Source organism: Homo sapiens, chromosome 12 (assembly GCF_000001405.40).
Source record: "Homo sapiens chromosome 12, GRCh38.p14 Primary Assembly".
NCBI lineage: Eukaryota > Metazoa > Chordata > Mammalia > Primates > Hominidae > Homo > Homo sapiens.
This window is the reverse complement of record NC_000012.12, coordinates 129,184,360-129,202,992: the sequence shown is the minus strand read 5'-3', so window position 1 is coordinate 129,202,992 and position 18,633 is coordinate 129,184,360. Positions and strand designations below refer to the sequence as shown.

Here is an 18,633-nt window from a genome sequence, read left to right as displayed (position 1 = left end):
AGGCATGTAGCAGGTGGTTAAGAAATGTTTGCTGTCAGCAAACATTTGCTTAAATATGTTTGACAGCAAACATTTCTTGAGCAACTACTATGTGCCTAGTGTAACGTTTAGCCTAAAGCTGCCTCACGTAGTTTAAACACTGAAGGGAAAACATAACTGCATTACTCAAGTTTTCCCTGGAGGTGTAATACCTGAAGGATGAATTTGTACCCAGTATGCCCTGCTGACAGAGGGAATGGCATGAGGAAGGGAAATAGGAGGCGGTTCTTTCTGCAGGTGGCCACATCTCCAGTCTCCAGGAGTGGCCATGTGATTCAGGGTGGCCAATCAGAACATGGCAAATTCTGGACGTGCCATTGGCTCAGGGATAGACACATTATCCAGTCAGAGCCAATGAGATGCAGGCTTCAGACTTGGGCAGGAACTCTTGAGAAAGAAATGTTTTTCCTCTCTTTGTTTCTGAGAATGACTCATGAAACCACCCTTGGAAATATAGAGGGTGCAACGAAAAATGAAAAACCTCACAGCATTTATTTTACATCCACCAATAAGCCTCAAAGCCCGATGCACAACTTAAAAATCAAAACCCACAGCTCATACAGTTGTCATTGTGGTGCTCTGTGAATCACAGATGTTGACAAAGAGTCACCTGGTACGTGTGATGTGTTGGTGTCATTTGGAGGCTGTTAAGAAAGAAAGCCAAGGGATTCTCAGAGATGTGTCACAGCCACCTGTGCAGCCCCTGGAAAGCCTCTGAGCAGAGAAGGTCGGCCTTTAAAGGCCCCAGTCTTTTTATTTTTATTTGCTTTCTCTTCTTTCCTCAGCCAAAAGCCCAACAGGCTGGTGTGGGCTTCCCCAGCCACATCAAAACCTCCTCTCAGGAAATCCACTGAAAACTCATTCCCGTTGAATTGTAAATTGCGTCAAGCCATGCTCTCTTCTGCCTCCCAAGGATGCTCGTTTTGTTTTATTTTTTTTTTCAAGAAGGCAACAGGTCCCCAGTGAAAGCATTTCAGATGTTTGCAATAATATACACTGTGATTCTCAGAGGTTGGAAATAATGGGAAATGCCACCTACATCAACAAGTTAAAAAAAATTGTCACATGATTGAAAAGTCCAGCCTGGCGCTAGCTTAGGGTGTTTTATTTAGAACTCCAAAATATATCACCGGAACATCCCCTCTCTTCCTCTCCCTCCCTCCTTCTCTCTCTTTCTCCCCCTACCCCCAATCTTTCTCTCTTTTTCTTCCTTATAGACACTCTTTCTTCTGTATGAGTTTCATTCTCACAGAGCTGTCCTTGTGGGAGCAAGATGGATGCCTCAGAACTGGTTCACATCCAATAGAAAAGAGTATTTGTCTTCTAGGACATTCCTGTATAAATCCTGAGATATGTTCTTATGGGACCTATTTAGGTCACCTTATCCTTGAGCCCAGCACTGCAGCCCAGGGATCCAAACATACTGGTTGTCCAAGCCCTAAATCATCTCAAAGCACATGAACTCAATGAGGAGTTTGGGGAGTAGGGTCCCCCAGGGCCAACCTGTGTATTGTCACTACAGAGAAGGGCAGTGGACTCTCTGCAGCAAAAGCAACCCATGTCCCCTGCAGCCACTTAGGAGTGGGATAGCCTCGGGGTTGGGGACATTGTAAGAACCCACAGATCAGCTGGTGGGAGAGCCACTCTCTCCTAAAGCCAGCCACACTGCACACACTAGGAGGAAGATTGACGTGGGCTCAAGTATTACTCCTGAAAAATTTGCTGAGGTTTTTGTTTTTGTTGTTGCAACTTACAGACTCAAGTGTTCATTAACAGGTCCTGAATAAACCAGTATCCACCAAATATTTCAGAAATGTCCACTGATAAAAATCAAAGGGGGCTGTAGCCCTACCTGATTACAGCTGCTCTTGGTGAACCTGCTTTATTATACAGCATTTCAACAGCATCAACATCCACCCTTGCTTCTGCACCAGAGACACACACCAGTGGAAATCAGGTGTATAAAGCTTGACACATTCTCCTAAGGTGGATCAAAGTGGAATCTTTCTGTGAGTGCAGCAAACTGCTGTGAGGAGAAGGAGTGTAATTTCGGGGATGGGAGCACAACGCTTAACAAGCTGAGTAAACAACTGGGAGGAAGAGACGAGTGGAAAATCAGAGAAGCTCTTCTGCAGCTATTTTCAGCATCCCTGGTGGAGTGCTTCAGTGTTGGGGCCTGAATGGCCTGGCTCCTCTTCCAGCAGCCTGTTCCTGAGGAGAGGAGAGTGGTGGAGAGCCGGCTCCCAGCAGTTCTCTTTCTGCAATCCAGCTGGGCGCCCGACAACCTGCGCAGCCACAGGGACAGCCCCCAGGAGGCAGTTTCCTAAATAGTCCCTTCTTTTTTTCTCCACCTGCAGATCCTATAACTCCCGATCAGCTTTTTTGTCCCCACCCCAAGAGTTTAGCCAAATGGCTTCAAATATTCAGCTCAGGAATGGAGAAGCTGCAGGGATTGCGCCGCCTCACTGATCCCTGCTGCCGCCTTTGAAGACTTTCCCTGTGTCACCTGCAGGGAAGAGTTCTCAGGGAGCAGACTGGCCACATAACAATAGCATCCCCCATGTATGAGCATGATACCTTTGATGCACTAACACAAGAGATGCACTTTTGATTAGTGAAGGAGTATCTCTGAGGCTCTTTTATTCGGCAGGGGTAATGGATTAGACTGGCCTCCCAATAGACACTTTCTTCAATCCATCATGTGGCAAAAGGTGGTCATTTTGATAGTAATCCTTCAATATTGGAAAGGACTCTGTAGCTACAGAGTGGGAGTGACCACCTGCGGGATACAGGGATTGGCCCTCTTGGTCCCCCCTCCATTAAGTGGAGATCCAAGTGGATTCATGGCAGGGAGAGTTAGGGGAAGATAAAGATGAACTGTACCACATAAACTTTGCATACTCACCTGGCATTATTATTGATTTTTAATCACGGCATTCTATTTGGACAGCAAATAGTGGTGATTCTTTCCTAAAGTTGACTTCCTAACGTTAGGATTTTTGTTATTGCTGGATTAGGAGTTGATATGGTTTGGCTGTGTCCCCACCCAAATCTTATCTTGAATTGTTGCTCCCATAATCCCCATGTGTCATGCGAGGGACCCAGTGGGAGGTAATTGAAACGTGGGGGCGGGTCTTTCCCATGCTGTTCTCATGATAGTGAATAAGTGTCATGAGATCTGATGGTTTTATAAAGGGCAGTTCCCCTGCACAAGCTCTCTTGCTTGCCACCATGTAAGACATGCCTTTGCTCCTCCTACACCTTCTGCTGTGATTGTGAGACCTCCCAGCCATGTGGAACTGTGAGTCCATTAAACCTCTTTTTCATTATAAATTACCCAGTCTCAGGTATTTCTTTAGAGCAGTTTAAAAATGGATAATACAGGAGTAAATATATTAGTTTAGAGAAAACAACATTTCTGGTTCCCATCTGTAGGCTCATCTTGTAAGTTCTTCTTCTGCTATGTCAATCTGTTTCTAAAACCTAATGTGTGATTTTAGAATTGTTAGTGGATTATTTCACTCCTGATGCAGATTAAAAGTAATTAGAGTTAGCTGAGCGTGGTGGTTCACACCTGTAATCCCAACAATTTGGGAGGCCAAGATGGGTGGATCACATGAGCTCAGGAGTTCGAGACCAGCCTGAGCAACATGGCGAAACCCTATCTCTACCAAAAATACAAAAATTAGCTGGGTGCATGCCTGTTATCCTAGCTATTAAGGACACTGATGGAGGAGAATTGCTGGAGCCTGGGAAGTCGAGGCTGCAGTGAGCCATGATGGCACCACTGCATTCCATCCTGGATGACAGAGCGAGACCCTGTTTCAAAAAAAAAAAAAAAAAAAAAAAAAGGTAGATGGACGTGTTATAGCAATGAGAATAGAAATTGTGATGTTTTAATACTTATTGGATGCTTACTTCATAGCAGGTAAGCGTTTGCTTCTTTAATCCTCACAGCAACCCCATGAAATAGATATTTTTATCAGTTATAGTTTAACACATATTTTCTGTTTTAATTTTTATCTTATTATAAATTAACAGTTTATAATTATATATATTTATGGAGCACAAAGTGATGTTAAGATTTATGAAAAAATGTGAAATAATTAAATCAAACTAATTAACATATCCTTCACTTCAGATACTTATTTTTTGTAGTGAGGACAGTTGAAATTTACTCTCTTGACACGTTTTGAAATGTACAATATACTATTGTTAACTATATTGTCCACACTGTGAGATAGATTTTTAAAAAATAACTTATTCTTTCTGGCTAACTGAAGCCTTGTACCAAAGCCTCAACGTCTGTAGTGACCATTTTACTCTGTGCTTTGATGACATCCATTGTTTTAGTTTAAATTCCACAAATGAGAACATGCAGTATTTGTCTTTCTGGGCCTTGTGAATTTCACTTAGCATAATGTTTTCAAATTTCATGCATATTGTCAAAAATGATACAATGTTTTTTTAATGTCTGGCTAGTATTCCATTGTTTATATGTAATGCATTTCCTTTACCCATCCATCTGTTGATGGACACTTAGATTGATTCCATAACTCCGCTATTGTAAGTAGTGCTGCAGTGAACATAGAAGTGAGACATCTCTTTCACATATTAATTTCAGATCTTTGGGGTATATACCCAGAAGTGGGATTGCTAGATTATATGGTAATTCTATTTTAGTTTTTCGAGTAACCTCCGTATGGTTCTCCATAATGACTGTACCACCAACAGTGTACAAAAGTTCCCTTTTCGTTACATCCTTGCCTACACTTGCTATCTTTTTAATAATTCTTAATGATTTTTATAATTTTATAATTTTAACAATTCTTAATAATAGCCATTCTGACAGATGTGAGGTGATATTAAAACCAAGGAATGGTTTTAATCTTCATTCCGTAGTGATTCGTGATGTTGAGCATTTTAAAATGTATCTATTGACTATTTGTAGCTCTTCTTTTGTGAAATGTCTGCTCAGTTCCCTTGCTCATGTTTTAATTGGATTGTTTCCTTACTATTGAGTTGTTTGAATTTCTTATATATTTTAGATGTTAACCCTTATTGGATGTATGGCTTGCAAATATTTTCTCCCATTCCATGGGTTATATCTTCACACTGTTAATCGTTTCCTTTGCTGTGTAGAAATGTTTATGTTTCATTCAATTTCATTTGTCTATTTTGTTTTGTTGCCTGTACTCTCAAGGTCAAGTCCAGGAAATTATTGCCCAGACACAACTCATACAGTGTTTCCCCTGTGTTTTCTTCTAGTAGTTTTGCAGTTTCTGGTTTTGTGTTTAAGTCTTTATTTTGAGTTGATTTTTGGATGTGGTGTGTGATAAAGATCCAGTTTTATTCTTCTGCATGTGGATATCCAGTTTTCCCAGTGCCATTTATCGAAGAGACTGTCCTTTCCCATTTTGTGTTCCTGGAACCTTTGTTGGAAATCAATGGACTTTACAAGCATGGATTCATTTCTAGGCTCTCTGTTCTGCTCCATTGAAAGTGGTATTATTTTTATCCTCATTTTTGGGGTGAGGGAATTGAGACACAGAGAGTTCTGATGCATCATCAGAGATCACATACGTGGTACCCATTTCCAGCCCTTTTCTATCTTGCTCTATCGCTCATCTTCTAGAATAGGGGTCGGCAAACTCTGCCTGCTTGGGGATGAGATTGGGCATGTTTACCTGTTGAGTATTGTCTATGGCTGCTTTTGTGCTACAGTGACAGAGTGGATATATAAAAATTATATAAAATCCAAAGTTCAGTATCCATAAAGAAAGTTTCATTGCCGCACAGCCACACCCACTCATTTACATCTTGTTAGTAGCTGCTTTTATGTGACCAGGGCAGAGTTGAGCTGTTGTGAGAGAAATCATATGGCCTGCAATGCTGAAAATACTTACCATCCAGTCCTCTGTAGAGAAAGTGCCAATCTCTGCTCATGGACTCTACTGGGCCTTTTCTTCACGGGTGGTGACTTACATGATTATTTACTGACACCCTACTTCCCCAGCCAAAAGTAACTCCTCCACAGATGCATGCAATTCTTCCAACAAGACTTCATGCCATTGGATTAGGCATTAATCTCTCCCTACAATCCTTCATTAAAGTTAATGCATTTCTAGGTGAGATTGTATATATCAATTCCTGGAAATTTTTGTCATAATGAATTGTTTAGATCACTTTTCTTTTTGATAGTCAAATCTGGACAAGCAGAGATTATACCTCCTGGAGAAATGGGAACACATCAAAAAATGAGAGAAAATGGGTCAAAGATGGACCAACCTTACCCTATATCTTAGGTTAGTCTAGAACAGCATCAGCAAATAAACCTCACACAAGATACTCCTCCCAGGACCATACCCAGGGCAGACATCACCAGTCAAATACACCACATCATTTTACTGTGCTGAGACATTGGTTGACAATCCCCAATACTGCCAATCATGGGCATCTTAGACCTAGAAAGAAACCACATGACCTCCCCATGCTACCCCACTTACATAGAATTTATATAAAGGATTTTGGAGAACATTTATACCAGGAATCACAAGCCCAGAAGAATACAAGAGGCAGGAGATAATTTAAATGAGTGAAAGCAATAAGGAATCATGAGGATTGCACAGACTGAGGGACACATGCCCTTTCTAGAGATAAAACCACAACTGCATCCTACCTGCCTGTTGCTGCATGAAAAGATTATAACATGCTGCTTAAGCATTTAGCTCCTGAGTCAAATTGCATGGATTTAAATCCTCGCTCTGATATTTACAAACAACAACAACCAGGGCAAGATCCATAAACTCTTTTTTTTTTCTTTTTTTGAGATGGAGTCTCACTCTGTCGCCCAGGTTGGAGTGCAGTGGCGCCATCTCAGCTCACTGTAGCCTCCACTTCCTGGGTTCAAGCCATCCTCCTGCCTCAGCCTCCCAAGTAGCTGAGATTACAGGCGTGTGCCACCACACCCAGCTAATTTTTGTATTTTTGGTAGAGATGGGGTTTCACCACGTTGGCCCAGCTGGTCTCAAATTCCTGACCTCAAGTGACCCGCCCATCTTGGCCTCCCAAAATGCTGGGATTACAGCTGTGAGCCACTGCACCTGGCCCCCGTAAACTCTTTATTCCTCAGTTTTTTTCTGTTGTTGAATGGACACGATCCATTTAACATGACAAATTTTGATTCTAACAGCTTTTTAGTTCTGTGGCCACAAAAAAACACATGTGGTTGCATTGGAAAATTAATCAATTAGAGTCACTTCAATTATGCTTAAATTCCCTTATAAGTAGGAATATGCCTTCAGCTATGTTCTTAATTTCAGGACTGTCTGCACAAAGCCTTCCCTGGTTTAACTATTTAGAACCAGATAAGTGGGTCAGGGTCACAAGGTAATATGAATTTCCTATGAGCTTCTCCTTGTTGCTTTTGATCTTGTCCCCCACCCCAAAATCCACTCCCCACCCGAGAGTCAAAGTGATCCTTTTAAAATATGGGCCACATCACATTATTTCTCCACTCAAAATCCTCCCATGGTTTCTGTCTCCCGCCCAGTGAAAGCTATGTTCCTTACAACTGCCTCTAAGGCCTATTCCATCTCCCCACCCTCCCTCTTAGCCCCTACCATCCTCACCTCATTTCCTGCAACTCTCCTTCTGGCCACACTGGGCTTCTTGATGACTCTTGGAACCTCCCAGGCCTGTGCCTGCCTGGAGACCTCACCCTGCCTTTCTCCCGCCTACTGGATGCACACAGCTCCCCCTCACTGTCTTCAGGTCTCTGCTCAAATCTCCCCAGTTTCAACAGCAGTGCCCCACCTCTGACATTCCCCATCCTTCTTCCCTGCCCTATGTTTTTTCATAGAACTTATCACCAAAGCCTTCCTATATTTTTTGCTTGTTATCTGTTCATTGTCCACCTCTACAAGGGTGAGGACTGGTTGGTTTTGATCATTACTTATTCCCCGGTGCCTGGAAAAATGCCTGCTGCCCACTGGGCTATCAATATTTGTTGAAAGAAAGATCTTATCTAAGAAGTCACAGTGGATGAGGACAGAGAGGGCCATCTCTCTTGGTTGTCACATAGAGGATTCTGGTTATCATGGGGAGGAGGAAGACTCCTCTCTTCAGTAGAAAAAAACATAGAAACAACTCTGAACATTTTCTTCATTTGGATAAGGAGACACCTGTATACTCACTGCACGGTGAATTTTTCCTGAACCTTCACATAAAAAAGTGAAAATATACCCTGGTTGTTGGATGAGACTCCCTCCAGGCCCAAATAAAAATAAGCAGAAGTTTCAAGAGCTGAATTAATGGATAATGTTTATTTTTATTTTTATTGAACTTTTAGGTTTGGGGGTACACGTGAAGGTTTGTTACGTAGGTAAACTCGTGTCATGAAGATTTGTTGTACAGATTATTTCATCAGCCAGGAATTAAGTCAAGTGCCAAATAGTGATCTTTTCTGTTCCTCTCCCTGCTCCCACCCTCCACCCTCACGTAGACCCCCAGGTCTGTTGTTTCCTTCTTTGTGTTCATAAGTTCTTATAGTTTAGCTCCCACTTATAAGTGAGAACATGCATTATTTGGATTTCTGTTGTTGGGTAATGTTTAGGATTGTATTCAGATGGCTCTGTCAGTCCAGTTCAGAAAAGAGTAAACCTATGGTGAGAATAGCTGCAGGGTTAGTGTTCTGGATGTAAAGATAAGAAAACAGGGGTGAGGTTAGGAAGAGAGGGGCCCAGCCCTAATTGCTTCTCCATATTTTCTGTTTTCTACATGGAGAGGAAAAAAATGGGACAGCAAATTGAAATTCTTTATCAGCTTAAATGAAAACAAGGAGCCATGGACCAAGGGTTCCTTTAACAGGTACTGGGTAGGTAATGAAAGCAAACCATGAGGATTGCAAATGATTGCTTCCTAACCCCTGAAGGTCAAAATGCCAAAAGTCAGGCTTTAGAGTCCAAACAAGAGACATGGTCAGAAGAGCTTCAGTTTAAGAGACGTTCAAGAAAAATCTTCACTATAGGCAAATTTTACCTTTCTGTAGACTTTAACTCTTAGGTAAAATGTGACTTCATCACACTTAGCACACATTGTAGTCCTCAGTTATCCATGAGTGGGCACATCTGATAGCGTTGGAGGAATTCAAGACTGGGGAACATGTCTTACTCATTTCTATATTCCTGGACTTACCAGAAGGCCTGGTATGTAGCAGTTGCTTAATAAATAATGATTTGTTGAATGAATGGACAACAAACCCATCTTTGTATTAAAAATTGATGAACATCCAATGAGATATAAAGTATTATATCCTTCATTTCCCTTTTATGGTATTTCCAGTTAAATTGACTTTTTAACACACATACTTTGTGTTTAATAGGTTATTTTAGTAAAATTCGATTTTGGATGTGTTATTTGCAAAATGCTCTAAAGCATGATGGGCAAGATACTATGGGTCAAGGGATTTGTAATGGTGCCACCTGGTGGCAGCAGCCCAAATTGCAGGCATAGCACCTTCTGGGTTTCTAACCTGCCTGTAAGGGTTAACGTGCTGATTTGCCTCCATTTCTGCGATGGAGAATTATTTACTTTCAGTTCTGTGACCACAAAAAAAAAACATTGCTATGTGAAGAAGGAAAACATATTGGCAACAGCTGCATTAAAGCATGAGTTATATGCCATATGTCACCTTAAAACCTCTAACTAAACATGCAGGCAATTAAACACTGTATCACATACAGAGTGCATGTAATTGGCATAAAGCTGTTGTATCTTTTTTTTTTTTTTTTTTTTTGAGACAGAATCTCACTCTGTCACCCAGGCTGGAGTGCAGTGGCACGATCTCGGCTCACTGCAAGCTCCGCCTCCCGGGTTCACGCCATTCTCCTGCCTCAGCCTCCCTAGTAGCTGGGACTACAGGCACCTGCCACCGCGCTCGGCTAATTTTTTGTATTTTTAGTAGAAATGGGGTTTCACTGTGGTCTCGATCTCCTGACCTCGTGATCCGCCCGCCTCGGCCTCCCAAAGTGTTGGGATTACAGGCGTGAGCCACCGCGCCTGGCCTGTTATATAATTTTTGAAGCCCAACATTAGAATGGTAGTGTTGTATATAGTGATTTAGGATTTGAACCTCCTTTGGTGCTAAAACGAGGCGCCCAGCTACCACCAGGCACATCACAGTTAAAATGTATCTGAGTGTGCAACACACCCGCTGTAATTCAAACCCCCCATTTGTGCCACAAAATCTCACCAGTGGAGGCAGTGATAGATAATTAGTACCCAGCCAGCCCTGTCCTCTGATACAAGAGAATAAAGATTAATAAGAAGAGACACCAATGGCAAAAATATGTGAACAACCCTAAATTTGAGATTATATTTATCCAAAAGGGGTATTTTTCATGATTAGTCTTTCAGGGCCTTAAAGTTTCTCTTATAAGAATTTGCCACAGAATCTTGATTTCAATGTTAGAGTCAGTTACAGAAGCTTCTGCCATCTTTCCCCTCATGGGAAGGTCTTTGATCCAAGAAGAGAGGAAAAACAAGTATCACATAATGAGTGTGTGTGATCAAGATGAAAACCAAGCTCAAAGTTCTTCTAAGTAAAACTAGTGATGATACACTTCTTACTTTGGAGGTCATGGCTACAGTCAAGGAAGACAATCGGTGGATTCCAAATTCCAAATGAGAACTTCTATTTGGATTCTGATATTCTTGAGCAACATTTATCATGACAAGTCACCCAGGATGGAGGCCCCAGGGGTCTCTTCCAGACCTCCCCAGTGAGTGCAGACGCAGGTCAAGGTAGTAGGAACCATTCGAGGTCCAGCCAAGAGTAAGACTCAGGCCCTGGTGAAGACCAGAAGTGAACACTGTGCCTCCACTAGATGTGAATTTGTTTTCTACAGGGCCAGGTTCAGACTTTAGAGACCCAGGGTTCAGAAGATATGATGGAAGCTTTCGTACAGAATTCAAAATTAAAATGTTTGTAACTGATTTGAATGAAGAGTCTTTGGCATAAACATAAATAATTTAACAAGTGTTTATTGAGTTTCTGATACATGCAAGCCACTGATCAGAGTGCTGGAGATTAAGCAGTAACAAAAAAGTCCCTGCCCCTCATGAGTTTCCAACTGGAGGACAAAAACAGGAGATATTTCGTGTGTGTGTGTGTATGTGTGTGTGTGTGTTCTGTGTGTGTGTATGGTTCATTATATCCTGTGATACAGTTTCATATATATAGCTTCCTCTTTAGAGAAGAAAAATAGGAGATATAGAGATATATGTATAATCTCCTACTGAGATATATATAAATATACATATATATCTCCTATATCTTATATAATTAGTATCATATATGTAGTTTCCTTTACAGAGGAGAAAACTAGGATACACACATACATCCACATATATCTCATCTCCTATATAACCTATATATAGCTATATTTATGTATATTTTATTTTCATATATATCCTTTATAATAGTTTCATATATATAGTTTCCTCCATAGAAAGGAAAATGGGAGATATTTTCATATAGATCTCTCTATTCTGTATTCTATATGTGTAATTTCTTATACATAACCTATTTTAAATATACATGTATACATCCCATATCCTATGTAGAAGTGTGTGTGTGTGTGTGTGTGTGTGTGTGTGTGTCCTATTTCCCTTCTCTGTGTCTTTTCGGCAAGATATGTGTATGTATGCACACATATATGTATAGCATATGTTATAAACATATGTACCTCACTGAAAAGGTGGCTTTGAGTAGATTCCACATAGGCTAACTGAGCAAGTCATGTGATGGTCAGAAAGGAAGAAGAGTTCAGGCACTGTGGCAGGAAGTAAGGCCCACGTCCCTTGGAGAGGAAATAGCCAGGTCTGAGGAGTCAGAGATCAGCACCACTGGCAGTGACCCGGAGGGGGCGTCTGGAGCCGGGTCTGGAAGGAGGGGAAACAGCTTGCTGGAGACCACAGGCCACACCTGAGACTACACCTTTTGTGCGGAGGCAGCACCCGGAGCCTGTCCTGAGGTCTGAGGGGGTCTCACCGGCAGGACAGCAAGAGCTCTGGGCTGCTCCACTGAGAACAGAGAGCTAGGATATGGGCTCAGAATCTGTATTAGTTTCCCACCACTGCTGTAAAGGACTACAAATTTAGTGGCTTAAAACAACACAAATGTGTTATCTTACAGTTCTGTAGGTTAGAAACAAACCTGAGTTGCGCTGGGCTAAAATCAAGGTCTCAGCAGGGCTGCCTTGTTTTCTGGATGTTCTAGGGGAATATCTCTCCTTGACTTTCCAGCTGCCAGAGGCCCCCACATGTGCAGGCCCTAGACCCCTCCCTCCATCTACAGGCCCCAGACCCCCTCCCTCCATCTGCAGGCCCCCAAGACCCCTCCCTCCATCTGCAGGCCGAGACCCCTCCCTCCATCTGCAGGCCTGAGACCCCTCCCTCCATCTGCAGGCCTGAGACTCCCTCCCTCCATCTGCAGGCCTGAGACTCCCTCCCTCCATCTGCAGGCCGAGACCCCTCCCTCCATCTGCAGGCCTGAGACTCCCTCCCTCCATCTGCAGGCCTGAGACTCCCTCCCTCCATCTGCAGGCCCCCAAGACCCCTCCCTCCATCTGCAGGCCGAGACCCCTCCCTCCATCTGCAGGCCTGAGACCCCTCCCTCCATCTGCAGGCCTGAGACTCCCTCCCTCCATCTGCAGGCCTGAGACTCCCTCCCTCCATCTGCAGGCCTGAGACTCCCTCCCTCCATCTGCAGGCCTGAGACTCCCTCCCTCCATCTGCAGGCCTGAGACCCCCTCCCTCCATCTGCAGGCCCCCAAGACCCCTCCCTCCATCTGCAAGCCTGAGACTCCCTTCCTCCATCTGCAGGCCGTCCCAAGACCCTTCCCTGCATCTTCAGCGCCAGCCGTGTTGCATCTCTGACTTTTTTCCTCTAGTCTCACCTCCCTCTGATTCTCATTTTCTGCCTCCCTCTTCCACTTTTAAGGGCTCTTTGATTACACTGCCCCACCTGAATAATCAGGATAGCTTCCCCATCTCAACATCAGCTGTTAGCGACTCCAATTCCATCAGCAACCTCACTTTCCCCTGTCATGTAACCTAACTCATTCACAGTCTGCAGGGATGAGGACACTGACGTCTTTGCCAAGCTTGACTCTGCCTGCCACAGACTCCCTTAATAATATCCCAGCAGACCAGACTTGCTTCTCTTGAAATTTAAATGGTGTTGTGCCACCTGAACCCTTCCTTGTGGACTAACTTCTTCAGTTTTGAGGTGACAAAATGGGAGAGGGAAATGTGAAGTGCATTCTCCTGTGATTTCCCGTGGGGACTCCCAGCCTTCCTCCGGATGGACCTCACGCACCCTGGGTCAGATGCACGGTGGGCTATGGGCAGCTCTCCAGGCCACAGCAGCCCTCACAGCCAGCCACACTGGCAGTGACCCCGGAGGGTAGCCCTCTTTCCTCACCATGTGCAGTCTTCACCCCCCACAAAGTTGTCTAATCTCTTGGCCCTGATTCTGAGGCCTGAGCCAGGTCCATCTTCCTTACTTCCCAGGGATTGGAAACTTGAAAGAGAGCTTTCCCATCAGCCTGTCATTTTGCCCTCTCCATTATCTCCAGGCAGCATCTGGTACTATAATGGCCTGGGATCCCAAACTTTCAGACTGGAATTGGTCCCCTGTCCCTGAGGCTGAAGGGTGGTGGTTTAGCTACCTCCAAAGGCTATGAGCAAATCTTTAGGGCTTCCCTCCAACGGCTTCATGGAAAATCACCTCTCAGGGACTTCCTCCTCTCTCATGGGGACCTGAAGGCCAGACGCACTTCCCCTTCTGGATTCCTCCCTTTCCCTGTAAAATAGCCTCTCTTATCCTGCAATCCCTACTTTTTTGTTGACCTTGTTGACCAGTAAAGGGTGAGTAGCATCAATTCTGTTGTAACCAAATGGCACTGTAGGTCCTCCAGGAAAGTGGGTGGTCTCAGCCACTCAAGCACTCAGAAGTCAGAACGGTGCATGCCAGGAACCTTACACTCTCTGCTACAGCCTTAATCAACTCAAGGTACATGGGAGCTCAGTTAGTACCTAACAACACTTTCATTTCTGATTAAGCTCATAAAAGCTGAGATCTCTCTCTTTCTCTCTCTCTCTCTCTCTCTCTCTCTCTCTCTCTCTCCCTCTCTCCCTCCCCCTCTCCCTCCTTCCCTCTCTCTCTCATTTATCTCTATTATCTATCTATCTATCTATCAATCATCTAGTTTCATCTTTTGCCCTTCAAATATCCATCCTCTGCTTCCAGACACACCTGTGCCTGACAGCTAGTATGTGTCTCCACAAGCCCACTGGGGACCAAAACTGTCCCTAGTTGGAAACCACAGGGCTAGCAAGATATGCATGGGTCAGAGCACATGAAGCCAGCATGCCATATTGCCCATGTGTATCTGGTATCTGTCACAATAATGCTACATAACAAAACTCACAACCTCTGATGGCTTGAAAGAGTGAGCATTTATTTCATCAAGAAGCCTGCGGGTCAGCTGGGCTATGCTTGAATCTGCAGTCAGCTGGAGTATTGGCCAATCCAGGAAGTCCTCATGCATACGTTGGTGGCTTTGGCAGGCTAGGTGTCGAGAGGTGACTGGGCCCCCTGAGCTGCACCCTCCAGGAGGCCAGCTGGGACCTGCTAACAAGGCAACAGCAGAGTCTTGGAGAAAGAACAGCTTCCATAGGCTTGTGGGGCCTTGTCTCAGGGCTGACACAAGTCTGTTGGCCAAAATTTGTCTCCATGTCCACGTTCAAGGGATAGAAAACAGTCTTCAACTCTTGTTGGAAGAAGCTGCAGAGTTCTGTTGCAAAGAGGATGGGTGGGTTGTGGGAGAGAGATTAAAACTGCAGCCATTGTTGCTGTCAGTCTACCGCGTCATGTTAAGACAACATATATTTGGTACATCCAACTATGATTTCACGAATATTCTTCTTTTAGACCAGACTAAATTGTAAAAGTAGTTGGTGTAAAGAAACATATTAGTAAGTAATAATACAGGATAGGGTGACAGTGAGGGTTACACACAAGTGGCCAGAAAATACTTCTTTACTATACGACTTCGTAAGAGTGGAGAAACTGTTTCCGTCAGCAGTAAGTGCAGGTAAATCTCTTTGTGGAAATGTGTGATTGCTTCGTTTTGTCCTATTTGGAAGGATGACTCCACAGGAAAAGGAACAAGGGAAGTTCCAGTGCCACAGAATGACTTACCATTTCTTAGAAGGAGGTGAGAAATAGGATGTCCTGCTGACTGTGACTATGCAGCAGTACAAAGAAGACACATTCCCATTGCACAGCTGGGTCCATTACAATTTGAAAACATTAAATGACTGGCTTAGTAATTGTGATACAGGATGATAAACTGTGGTAGTTTTTAAGTAACTCTTAAGTAATAATATTTCAGACTTTCATTCTGGTTCTCCCCTGCTCTTCCACTACCACATCCCTGACACCCTCAGCCAAGTCCTCCCAGACTCACCTTATCTCCAAGTTCTTGGCTGTTATTCTGAGTTAATGTTCTCCCATCCCTCCTCCTCCCCCTGTATTTGTTAGGGAGAGGCTTGCTTCTGTAACAAATAAATCCTCCCAATTTTGTGTGTGGCCTAACACAATTGGAGTTGATTTACCTCTTATATAACAGTCCAATATCAGTATTTTTTGTCTTCCTCCACCTGGTGACTCAGGGATCCAAGCTCTTTCCATCTTATGGCTCCTCCATCCCCCTAGGACTCCTCTATTGCCCTCTGGTGGAAAACCACACACAGTGTTTGATGCTCCTGCAAAGGAGGCTGGGAAACCCAGGCTAGCCGTGTGCCTGGGAAGAAGTAGAACACAGATACTCTTGGGTGGAGGGGATTGAGATCAAAGAAGTAGGAGAGCCCAGAGCAGCTAATTATTTATATTAAATTGACAATAGGTGTTCAATATGCATTATGTTAGAAATTTATGATTTACCTCATATTTTTATAATATGCAAAAATAGTGTGTCTAAAATGTATTACTTAGGTTTTTTAAATTTCATAATTGAAATGTTAGCATTAGACAAAATCAGTTCTGAAAAAATGGAATTGTCACTTTCACAATGACGTTGTAGTTGCTATTATCATTTAGCAAAGAATGATTACAATGCTAAATCTCCTGCGGAGTGATTGTTCTGATCCTGGCACTGTTGGATAACACTTACATGTATTAGCTCATTTCATCTTCATAACATCCCTATGGGGTAGGTTCTGTGTTACAGATGAGGAAACTGAGGCACAAAGAAGTGAAGTCGTATGCCCAAGCTTGAACCCAGGCAGTCTGGCTCCAGGATTCACAGGGTTGCCCGTCACAAATAAGCAGAGCGCTTGATGACCCAGGAGGCAAAGGAAGGAAAAGCCAGGAAAGGGGCCCAGTGAAAACTGGAGAATGGTATAGAGGGTCAAGTGGGGAGGTGCAAGAAAGTAAAGCCTGGGCCCCCTCTTCTACATAGAGGACATCTGGACCCCTCTCAGTGGAACTCAAGGAAACCAGGGGGCCTGGGAGGGATGACAGTCAGAGTCCTTGCATCAGCAGAGGCATAGAAGGAGGCAAAGCTGAGGGGTCTCTGCAGGGGCTGCCAAGGGAGCTGCCAACCTGGATAAGTTACACAGGACTCCAGATGAGCAGGATGTGAGCTGGAGATGCACCAAGGTGGCCTTTTGCTCACCTGAATTTTACACGTGCAGAGGCTTCTGCACTGTCAATAGATGAGATGATAGCATCCCCATGGGGGCCTTGGGTGGACTCCCCGCAGCGGAACAGTCAGAGGCTCCTAATGGAAGGGTCTGGCAGAATCCAAACATCTCTGTGGTCTGTGGTCAGCAGGGGTCAAGGAGCTCAGAGCCACATTCTGACTCTCTGGTGCAACCCTCCAGCAGATCTGAGAAAGTATGGTTTTTGGCAACTCAAACTAGAGGTTTTCCAGGGTGTTGTCAGAGCAAAAGAACTTTATTAAAACAAGAACATTTCCAGGGCTCTGGATTGTATCAGAAGTTCTATATGCACTCCATTTCAAAGCAAAGTGGCTTAACCTCACTAGTAAGGAGAAAAACAGATAGATAGATGATAGATAGATAGATAGATAGATAGATAGATAGATAGACAGACAGACAGATGATGGATAAAAGACAGGCAGATAGATAGATAGACAGATAGATAGAGACAGACAGACAGATAGATAAGATATGGACATAAAACTTTAACATTTCCTAAAGAAAAATAACCAACTTTGAGAAGCCAATTTTGAATATTGGTCATACTAAATTATCTATTGTTCTGTAGGTCAGATGAAAATAAAATAATATAATAAAAATAATAAAATTAAAATAAAATAATAAAATAAAAGTGATGAAAAATAAAAGAACAAATCATCTTCTGTTGATGACTTTGTAAACAACTGACTTTCTAAACAACTGGGAAAAATATTCACTTTATGCGTGGACACATTAGTCGGGAATTTAACATGCATTCACTTGTTTTCACCCATTTTTATTTGTTTTATTTTGTTTTGTTTTCAAAAGTTCTTTTGAATTGAAAATAGGATTCTTTTTTTCTGTAACTGCTACATTTTTATTCTTGGTGATGACAGATCACAGAAATCTCATTTCTTTGAAAGCTTAGAGATGTGTTTTGGAATGCCAGGGTCCTCACGCCCTGGATGGTCTGTTCATCTCTGCTGTAGTTCTGTGAGGTCATACAGATGGTCTCCAGGATCTTCTCTCCTGGAGGGAGAACTGGGAATTCTAACCTTTCAGTTCAGCAGCAAGTTTAATTCAGAGAATATTCTGGAATTTTAGAAAATAAATAAGTTCAGCGCAGGTTCAGCTCGGCTCACGATAATTGATTTTAGACTTGAGATTTAGTGAAATAATTTCCACCTAGGTCCACTGTGGTTTGTTTAGCAAATTAGTTCCTTCTCTTCTCATGTGAGACTCAGCTCTGGGGCAGCTGGGGTCATGATTCTTGAGCCCAGAGCCTGAAGCAGAAACACACACTCCCACCCCCACCCTCACCCCAAACACTCGTCCTTTCTTTCCCCTGGAACCCAGAATATCACATTTCTGATGAAACAGCCAAAGGTGATTGTCTAAGAAAGAGAAAGTGTGTCCCATGTGATCAGAGCTCAGCACCTCAACTAGATTAATGGTCTCCATGCAACCGGGAAGAGACAGGAACACCGAACAAAGAAAACAGCCGCAGGCGCCAGAGCGCAAGTTGTATCTTCTGAGAGTGGATTGTGCCTGAAGTGCAGTGAACTTCGTGTTGTAATAGCCACGGAGAGACTAAATCCAGTGTGGGCTACTCACCCCAGCCCAAAATCCACCACCCCAGCCCTTCTGGGCTAGTCCCATAGAGTATGGGAATCCCATGAAATGTGCCCTGGAGCGACAGGGTGCTGAGATCAGCCAGACGGCCCAGAAATCAACCCCATCCCGTAGGCAGGTGCTTTTCTGTTTTGTTTGTAAACAGCCCGCACAAAGGACAGCCTGTGGATGAGAACAGCTCTGCGAAACTCC

General features: G+C 43.5%; 1 protein-coding gene across 1 annotated transcript in view; it reads left to right on the top strand.

The window, feature by feature from the left end:
• TMEM132D (transmembrane protein 132D) overlaps positions 1-18,633 on the top strand; it is an 832,300-nt gene that overhangs the window by 701,033 nt on the left and 112,634 nt on the right. The window lies entirely within an intron of this gene.